Below are 12,037 nucleotides of genomic sequence, written 5' to 3' on the forward strand. Positions count from 1 at the left end.
GGGGGACCAGTGTGTTGGTGAGGTCCCAGGCAAGTAACTCTAAGAATAGAAACTATGGTTCTAAGAAATGGCCAGGGGCATTGGTCCATATGGGCTGGTGACCAGAAGGAATGGAATTGGCCTGGGTGACTTGTAGCATGAGGGCCTACAGCCATCCGGAGGGTAGCAGGCAGGGCCTGAGGCTGAGACAATGTCAGCAGTACAATCAGCTGCTGCCCATGCCCTGTGCCAGGCAGCACGCCCTTGTGTAGTCTGACCACTCAATCCTGCCAGCAGCCCAGGGAAACCAGGCTGTCATCACCCCAGTTCTGCAGAGGAGGAAATCAGACCAACCCCAGTGCCCTGGCAGTCAGCCTGAGGGCACAGAGGAGGAGGAGGAGGAGCAGGAGCTGGGGTCCTGATTTTCAAGGTCAGAGACAGGAGGGCTCTGGCCTCACACAGTCACTCTGACTTTAGCTAGCTCTTCTTTACCAAGCACTGACTCTTGTGTGTGGAAAGTATTTTTCTGGTATCAGACATAGTGTTGGGTTCTGGGCACATGGCTCAAACAAGACACAGTCCCTGCACCCCGGGAGTTCACAGCTAATCACCCCTCTGTTCAACAGTGTGCTTTTGAGCCCCTGTTATGTGTCATCCTTGTGTTGGGTTCTAGAAAGACCACAGTGAGCCACAGCCCACATGACCCCTGAGCTCATGGGGCTGTTGGGTTGGTGTACTAGTCAACTCGGGCTATCATAACAGAATACCACAGACGCGGTGGCTTAAACAATAGGCATTCATTTCCTGTCAGTTCTGGAGCCTGGAAGTCCAAGATCAAGGTGTCTGCAGGGTGGGTTTCTCCTGCAGCCTCTCTCTTGGCTTGCAGACGGCTGCCTTCTCCCTGTGTCCTCACATGGCTGTCCCTCTGTGCGTGTCTGTGTCCCAACCTCTATTTTGAAGGACATTAGTCAGTTTGGTTTAGAACTCAACCTAAAGACCTCATTTCATCTTAATTACACCTTTAAAGGCCCTGCCTCCAAATACAGTCCCATTCTAAAGTCTGGGGGTTAGGATTCCAGTATATGAATTTGAAGGGACACAGTTCAGCCTGTAACAGTTAGGATGCTGGCACTGGCAGACTTTCTCCTGAGCATTTGTGTATTGGCAGCCACATGCATGCTGTGCACAGAAGGTGCACAATGCCATGAGATCTTACAGTAGGACCCCAACCGAGTCTGGGCTTGGGAAGGCTTCCTTCGGAAGTGGCATTGCACTGGGGTCTGAGGACAAATTGGAGTCTCAGTGCCCCTGGAGGTGAGGGTGCCACAGTGGTGCTGCTCAGGCTATTCCTGCTGGCCCTGAGTATCACCTCCGCATCGAACCAGCCACCTGCTGTGTGGACTCCTGTGCCTGTAAGCAAGAGCCACATCCTGTTTCCACAAGGCCTACCTCAGGGATGCCGTGAGACTGCAACATTGCTGCACCCCTACTTAGGCTGCCGATTATGGACTTATGTCCCCTTCCCACCTTACAGGGAGAGAGACAGCCTTGAAACCAGACCCAGAGATGAGTGAAGCACCACAGTTGGTGCTGTGGCCCCACTGCCTGCCTGGCCATATCACTGGCTCCATCAGCCCTCCAAAGAAACCAGCTCTACAATAAGACTCCCTTTTCCTGTCACCCATTTCATCTGGAATGCCAAGCAGTTCTGCACTGGTGACGCGTGCTGACTCCAGCTCAGGCTAGGGCTCTGCTGAAAAGCTGCCTCCTGCGATCACTTGCCTAATGGTTCTTCCTCCCACCACCCACTGGGAGAGCCGTGCCTCAGGAATTCCATGGGGCCAGTCACATGGCCTGATGCCCTTGGGCTGGGCCAGGATGGTGCTGCCACAGCCTAGATCCTGGGTGTAGCCCCTTGCACAAGGTCAGCTGGAGTGTGTCCTGTCTCCAGCTACAGCCAGTCACAGCAGATGGTGGTTGCATTTGGCACAGAAGTACAGTCCACAGGCTGAGTGCAGTGGCTCACACCTGTAATCCCTATGCCTGGGGAGGCTGAGGCAAGCGGATCACCTGAGGTCAGGAGTTGGAGACCAGACTGGCCAATGTGGCAAAACCCCATCTCTAATAAAAATTTAAAAATTAGCTGGGCATAGTGGTTACACACCTGTAGTCCCAGCTACTCGGGAGGCTGAGGCAGGAGAATTGCTTGAACCTGGGAGATGGAGGTTACAGTGAGCCAGGAGATTGCGCCACTGCACTCCAGCCTGGGTGACAGAGCGAGACTCCATCTCCAAAAAAAACAAAAAAAAAAAAACAAAAAAAGAAGTACAGTCCACAACACACACAAGAAATGAAGTTTTCTGTGTTTTAAGAAAGAGGAGTTTTAAAAAACAATAAACAACAATGACAACTGCGCATGTTAAAATCACTCCCTGGATGTGGTAGCTCAGCTGAGCCTTGCTGGTCAGGGCCACTTCCCGGAAGCTTTCTCACTGTTGCTAATCCTTCTGAAGGGCCTGGGTCAGCTCACTGCCTTTGGAGCCCTCGGTTTTCATCTGATAAAATGGGGGTAACAATCCTGTCTTGAAGGACTGTGAGGAGTAAACCAGTGTGCAAGGATGCCCAGCATGTTGCAGGCGTTGGGAGTGGGCTGCCAGCCCCTTCCCTCATCTGCCTGCACCGCATGAGCCTGACACGTGCCGGAGTCCAGGCCTGAAAACCCAAGGGGCTGGGCCCCCTGAGCTCCATGCCCGTATTGCTGGGCTGTAGCACAGCCACGGTGGCATTACCACTTCCAATTTTTCAAGAAAGCCTGGATATCTGTATTTTTACATGAAATCTTCCCATTCTCAGTTGGGCCACAATGTGTGGTCTCTGTGTTGGCACCAGGTCCTTAATGTGCCGTCTCTTCCTCCTGCTGCAGCCTTCAAGAGGAGGCCATCGCCCTGTTTCTCCCAAAGGCACTGTGAGGCTCAGAGGAGCTAGATGACTGGCCCACCAGACCCTGAAGTTCCCAATGGAAGTGGACATCACCCATGGTTCCACTTAGCTGGGAGGCTTCTGGAAACTCAGCATAGAGCAAAAGTGAAAACACATCCTGGTGCCAAAGGGACAGGACACGATGAGCCCTGAGGTTGTGGATATTGTTATGTTCCCATAAATAACAGGCCCTCAGACAATGGGCTGTGAGGCTGTGTGTTCCTCTGGGGTTTGAAATGAAACTGGCTTTCTTCTCTTTTAAAATGTGCTCTCTCCAACCATCCAGCTGCTCTGTTTGGAGCAGATTCTGGGGCAACCCCAATAACCTGTCCTTGGGATTTCATTAGCACCACCAGCCAGCTGCCTGGAAAGTAGCCCCTGCCAGGACCAAATTAACTTTTACTGAGAGACATTGGCAGGGCTGGTATTGTGCACACTTGGCATTTTCAGCCCACACTGGGATGTGGGTAGCAGGGTACCTTCAAAGAACAAGAGCTTCGGAGGCAGCCAGACCTGTGTTGGAATCCTGGCTAGAATGCTACCCTTTCTGAAAATCCCAGTTTCCTCATCAGTAAGGTGGGTTATCTTGAGGACTTTCCCTCCTAGCTTTTTAAATAATTTCAAACATACTGAAGAGTGGAAAGCTTATTGAGCAGTGTTGCTCCCTTGGCTTCAACAATTGCTCCGTGTTGTCTTGTCTGCTTTGTTTGTGCGCCGAGCCGACTGAGGGTTCCTCCTGGTGCTGCTGCTGTGCCTGCACCCTCAGCACATGTCCCCGAGGAACAAGGACATTCTCCTGCAGAACCACAACGCAGTTACCACTGGAGAAATGTGACATTGATGCCACATTGTCTAGGATACAGTCCATTTTCAGATTCCCCAACTGTCGCAATAGTGTCTTAGGAAGTTTTCCATGCTTGAGGAGTCAGTGAAAGGTGGCACCTGCGCTCAGTGCTGCCACCAATAGTTTTACAACACTGATGTTTTTGAAGAGCCCAGGTTGGTTGTTTCCCAGTGCACTCTTTGGGTCTGTCTGATATTTCTTCATGACTGGGTTCAGGCTGTGCATTTTTGGAAGGAATTCTACAGAGGTGATTTCGGGGCCTTAGTGTGTCCTATCCGGATGTCTGCCCATCATAGGCAATGCTAGGTTTGACCACTAGTGAAGGTGGTTGTTAGGAGGTTCAATGAGGTGATGAAGACAGAGCCCAGGCCCAGAGATAGCTGTGTGGAGGGAGTGCAGCGGCCCACACTCACCACCGGTATCATAGCTCAGCAGCTGTGCCCCATGCAGGATGCCTCTGTGGCCTGGGAGGAGGGGCACCAGCAGGTCCCTTGGGAAGTTACAGTAAAGGCCCCGGTCTGGCAGCAGTGAGGCAGAGCTGACTCTCTGGAGCCAGATCTAGGGATATCCTACCCCTCTCCCATATCCCCATGGGGCTAAGCCAGGGCCTGTGGAGGGAGGAGAGGAGCTGCTACTTCCCCCAAAGCCTTCTCTTTCTCCCTCTCCCCGACCACCCACCCTCTCTCCCCAGCCCAGCTCTGTTTCAGCCATTGCCCCTCTCCCTGTGACCAGCATCAGACCTGAGCACAGAGGACTGGCTCTAGGCCCATCCCAGGGGGCACCGTTTGGGTGGAGATGTTACAGAAAGGAGCAAGCACTATAGTAGGGGCCCTACAGGGCTTTGGAGAAAGAGCATGGAGTGACTGCTCCCTTCCAGAGTGAAGGTGGGAAGTTTTACCGATGCAGTGAGGCTTGAGCTTGTCTTGAAGGTGAGGAGATTTCCCCAGGGAGAAAAGGGAGGAAGGGTGTTCAGGACAGAAGGAACAGAGTGTGCTAGGGCACAGAGGATGGAAAGAGTGGCATATTCTGGGAATATGGAATAGAAACTAATATTCATTGCTTGTTAAAATGAGTAGGACATTGTTCTAAGTGTTGTATATGTTATTAACTCCTTTGATATATATAAAATGATGGTTTTGGAGCAGTTTTTTTTTTAAAAGCAATGGAATTCTTTGTTTTTTCACCCGAAGTCTTTCATGGAATCCAATTGAGGCCCTGGGGAGCCTCCTTGCTGTTCACCTCAAATCCAGCCCTGAGGCTCATCCTTGGATGGATGGGGAGGAGGGGAGGAGGAGCTTACTCCCGAAAGGCCTTGGCCTCCATGCTTGTATCTGGCCTTTGTCTAGACAGGGTTCCCATCGACACTGCTGACACTGGGGCTGGACCATCCTCTACTGTGGGGCTGCCTTGTGCCCTGCAGGGTGTTTGTGGGTATCCCTGGCTTCTTCTTACTAGGTACAGCCTCACCCAAGTTGCAGCAATGAAAAACTTCTCTAGATGTTCCCAAGTGTCCCCTGGGGACCAAAATATCCCCCAGTTGAGAACCACTGGTCTAAGCAAGTGGCAGAAGGAACTGGTGGTTGGTGTGCAGGGAGGAACACAGTCAGAAAGCTCTGTCTGGCAGCTGGTTGGAGGGGGCAAGCCAAGGCCTGAGGCTGGACAGTGGGCACATGGGGAGGAGGGCAGAGGGGCAGGATGCACCCCAGAACCTGTTGGGGTGCAGAATGAGGAGGGTGATGTCCAGAATAGATTCTACCCCAGGCCTCGTGGGCAGCCTCTGGCCAGCAAGGAGGGCCTAGGCATGCCCCCAGAGTCCCAGCCCCATGGTAGGGGCCCTACAGGGCCATGGGGAAAGAGAGGACAGAGTGGTCCTGCAGGGGCCGGGGCCCGGCGGCAGTGCCTCATCCATCCTGAGGTCTCTGGGTGCTTGGTGGTGGGGGGCCCTGAGCTCTGGGCCCAGTGGCCTTGAGAGGAGGGAGGCTCTGTCCAGCCTGGTGCGGACCAGGAGTGCAGGATCTTTACTGGCCCTTACACAGTGAATGCAACTTTTCTTTGGGAACTATTTCTCTTTGCTTAGGACTCTCTAAAACTTTCCAGATTTGCCAGTTTGTAGTTTTAGGGAAAATTTGTATTTTTCCATATGCAGTTATCCTACCTAAATAAAGTCAGCAGAGTGAACTGATAAAACAATTAACATTTTAGGCAGTGGAAAGTGGAACTTGCGATTGGCTGTCTCTGGAGGGTCTCTCCAGAAAGTCTTGATTTAGCAAACCACCAGCAATCTTAGATACCTGAGAGAAAGTTCCAGAAATCAGAGGCCGGCCCATGTTCTATCGTGGATGATCTTGGCTTGGGCAGTTCTGTGGATCTTGTGTCTGATACTCCATGCCCTGGACTGCCATGGCAGCTGGTCAAGGGGCCTAAAACCCTGAAGCCTTTAAATACATGTGCCAGCAGCAGGAAACTCCCTGCCCCAAATTCCCCCATGATTTGGATTCACCACAACACTTACCATGTGTTCAGAGACGCTTGGTCATCACAGTCACTAGCAAGGGGAGGAAAACCCCTTCCTGGCTAGGTGCTGGGGGTACAGAGGGCCTGGGGCAGGACGGTGCTCCAGCATGCTCTGCCACTACTACCACTGTTACTGCCGATGTTCATTTAGCTCCTGCTGTGTGCCAGACTACCTGACATGCTTTGTTGAAATCCACTACAGTGTAGAAATCCACTCTTTTGTTCCTTCAGCACCCCCTGAGGTGGGCACTATTAGTAGGTCGTCACTCACCCAATGTCTGACAGACCACACTGCCTTTAGTGACCACAGCACAGCAGCCCTCTCTGGGACAAACAGGTTAGGGTGAAGGGTGCTGGGCCCCTGACTATACGTAAACAAGGTATTCACAGCAGTGCTTAGAGCTGCGCCTAGCGAGGGTTGGTGCTCACCAGCCACTGCTGCTGTAGATGTCACTTCCATGAAACCTCTGAGTTGTTCCTGGCTTCCTTCCTGTCTGAGGAGGAGGCAGGGGAGTAATAACAATAACACCTGTAATTGTACCTATAGAAAACATGTACAGAGCAGTCCCAAGGCTGAGTGTTTCCTGAAGAGCGTCTCACTGATCTGCCCTGTACAAATGTCAAGATGAGGCCCTGAGAAGTGGAATGACTTGCACGAGGTCGCACAGCTGAGAAAGGGAGGAGGAGCCAGGATTTTACCCCATTTTGTCTGACTGCAGAGCCCCAGCACTTTATGCTGAAAGAGAACTGGGAGCCAGTGGAGTGTGGAGTTCCGTGCAATGTGGAGCCAGGCAGGCAGGGACGAGTGAGAGAACCTGGCACCCATTGTGTGGATGTTGGGCCCACCTTGCTCTTGCCTGCCTCCTCCACCTGGGCTCTCTCACCTGGCCACAGAGTCAGCTGAGTTTAGAATGGCACTTGATGAGCTACAGGTAACCATTGGATTGCTCAGGCACCCAGGGCCACTCCTGGAACCTGTCTCCAGGGAACCTCTGTGGCCCACACAGGATCTAGCCCTGGGCCAGAGTGTTTCACTGCTGCCGGGTAGTTAGCCAGGGACCTACAGCAGCAGCGAGCCTTTGGTTGGTGAGCAACCCCTAGCTGGGGCTCCTGTGACCTGGTGTTTATTTAGTGCTCGAAGGTTGGGATCACCACGTGCATGTCCAGGGAGCTCTGCTATCCACACACAACCTCCTCACAGATACAGGCTAGTGCCTATACCAAGCCCTTCCCAGCAGGGCTCTATTCATCCAGTCTCCTGTCCTTGGGGTGGGTCAGCTCTGGAGGGGGCTAACCAAAAAGATCCAGGTATCACATGCATATCTTAAGCCAATTCTCACCCATAAAATTTCACAGTCCCATTAGAGAGAAAGCTTAAAAATCTGGGGAAAAAGTCACCCACAGTCTCCTCACCCCAGTAGCATCCCAAGGGACTTTTGGTTCCATTTCCTTCCAGCACTTTCCACATGTCACTTGGCCAGGCTGGGAAGGGCTCATGGTCGGGAGTGAGAGTTGAAGGCCCACCTCCTTCACTGGCCATTAGACCTGGACCAGCCCCGCTGCCTCCCTGAGCTGCACTCCCCTCTGCAGCATGCAAGGGCAGTGCTGATGTCTATCATTAGCTCTGGAGGGTGCAGTTGGAAACCATGAGTATGAAGTGCCCACCCAGGGTCCAGCACCTGAAGATGCACCATCGGTGCCCAGTGCTGTCATCGACTGTGTGGCTCTTTTGGACGTGACACCACACCAGACCCCCAGGTCATACTGCTGCTTTCCTTGGGGCTTCCTCAGAGGCTGCTGTTCATGTTTTCCCCTCGCCTCCAAGGGCTGTGCTTGTAGACTTGTGTAAGCGGACCGTGCTTACCTCACCATCTCCTACTGGTCAGGTACCTACAATTTTTCCCACTGTTTTTCGTTATTATGGCCAACATTCAGAGTCATCCTGGAGCTTTTCTCACCATCAACCTTTGAGTGTGGGCCATTCAGTCAGGACACACTTACTCACTCTCAGATTTCTTTAGTTTGCCTCAGTGGGTGAGTGGGGGAGACCTAGGGGGCTTTCTACTGGGGACCCCATTCCAGTTCCTGGCACTAATTGTGGCTCAATAAAGGCACACTGAATAAAAGAATGCCAGAAATTTCACTGAGACGTGATTTTCCTCCATGTTTATGATTCAGTGATCAAAGTTAGAAATTGTTAAAAAAAATGAAAAACAATAATATATTTCTCACTGTATGCCATATACTTTTCTAAGCATATTATATATAATAATATAATTTACTCTTCACAACAAACCTGAAGGAATTATAATTATTGAAATTGCCATTTTGCAAATGAGGAAACAGAAGCACAGAGAGGTAAAGGAAAGTGCTCCAAGTCACACAGCTCTTGAGCCCCAGAGCTGAGACTTGAGCCCAGGCCATCTGGCACTGGAGCTCATGCTCTTAGCCCTGTGTTCTCTGCCTCTGACTGTTCTCATTTTTGTCCATCTGTTCCACCTGGCCCTGAGCTAAGGGCCCAACATGAATTCCAGAAGTTCCCATTTTGGTTTGGCCCAGCCTTTGGGGTGGTTAAAGAAATACTCTAAACTGCAGTTTCCTTGTCCTATATAAAAAAAGGAGTGGTCCCTGCCTTCAGGATTGTAATAGAGGAGTAAGAAAATGTGTACCAAGTGCCTGGACCCTTAGAACTGTCCTGTGAGTTCGAGTGTGTTTCTCTTCCTCTTCACAGGGGCTGCAGACAGTCCCTGGGGGATCAGGTGTAGGCTAAGTTTTGGTGGTGAGGATTTGTGTCTGTCTGGGGATTGGTAAAGCCACTGCCTCTTCATGTGCCATCTTCCAGCACCTGTCTGTCTGGTGAGCACTTCACTTCTTGTGGCTGTTGCTTGCTAGCCCCTTACCTCCTGCCCACCCTCGCCATGGGCACAAATCCACACCAGGCACTATGCTCAGAAGTTGCCTTGACAGTGCCCTCTTAGTATGGCATTTGGCATGCTTCGCAGTCGGTCTCCCACCAGCCTTCTCTGCCTCCCCTCCCTCTGTCCCTCTGGACCGCAGGCCACCCTCCAGCCCTAGCCCTGCAGCAGCCCATAGCAGCTTTCCTTCATTCTGCCACTTGCGCTGGGTGCTCTGGCCTCAGCTCAGATGCCACCTCTAGGAAGGCTCCCTGTCCTTCTCAAACGGAGCAGGTCCTCAATGTTCTCCTCCTTTGCGCATCTCTTCCAGTGCCACATCGGCTTCTCCACTCCCTGGACAGAGAGCTCTGAATCCCAGGTGGCTCCACACTCATTCCACGACTGGGCTGGGAGGTGCTCCCAAGTGGAAGGTCTTTGCTGTGTTAGTCTGTGGCCTGCACATGCTCACTGCTCACTGTTGGATGAGTGAGTGAGTGGGCAAACCCCTGTGATCTCCACCACACACCCTTTATATGAACACCACCCTTTATTTAAGCTAGATGGGGCTGAGAAATAGGGTATTTGAAGCCTCAGATTGACCCATGTGCCTGAAAAAGTTCAGAGGTGGTGCTTGATCCCAGGACTCAGCCCTGCCCTCCTTCAGGCAGCTGTCCCAGCCAGGCTTCTCCATAGATGGTCTTCCAGCTGCAAGTCCAGTGGAGTAGGGTGCCTCTTTCCCAGTAACCCCACCAAAGTGCTAGAGCCCCACACCATCCCCAGACCAGCACAGGAGCCTGGGGCATGCACAGTTCTCTGGCCAGCCTGGGTCATGTGCTCCTCTTGGCACCAAGGATGCACCCTTTTGCAACCCTGCATCCCCAAGGAAAACCAGGGGCTGTTACTAGAAGTAGGCGGAAACAGCAGGTGTTTGCTGCAAGCAGGAATGCCCACTGTGCTTGGGCTTTCCTCACCACTGGCATGGCCTTACCATCATCATCACCCTAACCTGCACAGCCACAGCCCTTCCCAGGGCCCCGCAGCATTCTGGGCCAGCTTCGCTTCCTGAGCCCTCTGGACTGCTGGGGTTTCTTCCCCAGAGGTGAGCTTCTCTAGGCTGAGGGCTGGACTGAGTCTCCCAGTGTCTCCAGGGTCCCACCCATCAGCTGGCAGACCCCAGGTAAGCTGTGTTTTGTCAGGTATGTTCATGGTGGGATTTGAAGGACCTCTGTCCCTTCAGCCATTGAAAACTGTTCCTCTCCCCAGTAACAGTGACCATCCCAGTTGCAAATACATCATTCATCCTCATTAGCCTTGGCACACTGACTTGTGTGGTGGAAAGATGATCCTTCTGGCCAAGCAGTGAGCATATCAGGATTCACCAGTGCCTAACTGGGACTCAGAAGTCTCAGCAGAGTCAGCAGTGTCTCATGATTCTTGTGAAAGAGGAAAGATTTAATGTCAGAACCTAGGTCAGGAATAGGTGATTGTTCTGCACCCAAAGGTTTGGGGAACCCTCACACTGTGGGCTAATTTCCCTCTGTCACCTGGGGGAAGAAGGCCCCATGGCTTCTTCGTGCCCAGCAGCGGCACAATCTCTCACTCAGGGGTCATGGCCTGGCCCCAGACTTTTGTTTCCATCCAAACTGGTTTGAAAAAAACCTCACAAACTGTTTTTTTAATAACCTAGAAGTATAATAGTAATAGTCATTCAAGGAGATTTGCATGTTAAAGAAAATAAAAAGAAGTCTCCCATAGTCCCATTATTAATATTTTGACTTAGTTTCTTCCGTCTTTTCTCTGCAAAGCCTTCTTTTTATGTAATTGAGATATGGTGTATACAATTTTGTGTCTGATTCTTTTCAATTAATATTTATTATACAAACTTTTTTTTTTCTTTTACTGTTTTACTCTGTGGTCTCCAAGGGAAGTTGAACCACGTAGTGATTAAGAGCCTGGGCTCCGGGCTCAGACAGAGCTTGGTCTGAATCCCAGCACCATTACTTACCAGGTCTACAACCTAGATAACCAAGCAGGCCTCGCTGAGTCTTAGTTTCCTCGCCTGTAAAATGGATACCGAATGTGCCCTAGGTGGAGATGCTCCAAGATATAAATGTCCAGTAAAATGTAAAAGCACATGCAACACTCAGCAATAGCAAGAGCTGTGTTCAGTCATGTGGCCATTGTTTTCAATGCAGCGTAACAGTAACCAACCTTGCCAAGGCCTTAATGGGCTACCTAAGCATCTGTGGATGTTCCATCTCTTGTAAATAACATTGCTGGAAGCATCTCTGTCTATAAATCTCTGTTTTAATATGTAGGGTATTTTCTTAAGATGGAGCCTCAGAAGCTGAATTGTTCTAATTTTTAAAATGAAAACATCACAGACATTTAAAAAGTTCTTAAGAGTTCCTGGCAAAGTGTTTCCCAAAAGTACAGTGCCATTTTATACTTCCATCAGCAGTGGGTGAAGGTGTCTGTTCTCTACCCCTCACCAGCACAGGCTCCCCTGTGTTATTTATCTTTGCTATTTTCCTACATGGCAAATGACATCTCAGTGTCTTTAATTTGCATTTCTTTGATAACTAGTAAAGTCAACCATTTTGCCATATCCAAGTTTCTTTAAAGAGATTCAGAAGAAGAAGATAAGTGGAGAAAAACGTGCAGTTCACAGTCTGGCATCTTTATGACTGTCTGCCAAAATTTCCCACTTCAGCCTCCTACACTGGGGACTAGAGTACCTCTTGGATTCTGACCTGCAGATCTCCATAGTGTATACTCGTCACCCCAACCCTGTGCAATCCAGAGGCACCTCTACCAAGATGGCTTT

The 12,037-nt window shown here is 51.0% G+C and overlaps 1 protein-coding gene across 11 annotated transcripts in view, besides 1 other annotated feature; it reads left to right on the forward strand.

The window, feature by feature from the left end:
• The window catches only part of EEFSEC (eukaryotic elongation factor, selenocysteine-tRNA specific), a 272,743-nt gene that overhangs the window by 212,684 nt on the left and 48,022 nt on the right, over positions 1–12,037 (forward strand). For 2 of the 11 annotated variants that reach the window (NM_001437810.1, NM_001437813.1), the window contains one exon: positions 1,514–2,404. The exons of 8 other annotated variants lie outside the window; for them this stretch is intronic. In NM_001437810.1, the coding sequence (NP_001424739.1) occupies positions 1,514–1,641 (128 nt within the window). In that variant the 3' untranslated portion in view covers positions 1,642–2,404. Of the gene's footprint in view, positions 1–1,513; positions 2,405–2,902; positions 4,962–12,037 lie in introns of those variants that run through there. One more of the 11 variants, NM_001437811.1, reaches the window with a different exon arrangement.
• Positions 2,678–3,178: an enhancer, noted in NCBI's record as "H3K4me1 hESC enhancer chr3:128087685-128088185 (GRCh37/hg19 assembly coordinates)". NCBI's record gives its function as "activates a minimal SCP1, AML or CMV promoter by ChIP-STARR-seq in naive H9 embryonic stem cells {active_cell/tissue: H9 hESC(naive)}" and the evidence as "EXISTENCE:reporter gene assay evidence [ECO:0000049][PMID:30033119]".

Source organism: Homo sapiens, chromosome 3, assembly GCF_000001405.40.
Source record: "Homo sapiens chromosome 3, GRCh38.p14 Primary Assembly".
In the NCBI taxonomy this organism is placed as follows: domain Eukaryota; kingdom Metazoa; phylum Chordata; class Mammalia; order Primates; family Hominidae; genus Homo; species Homo sapiens.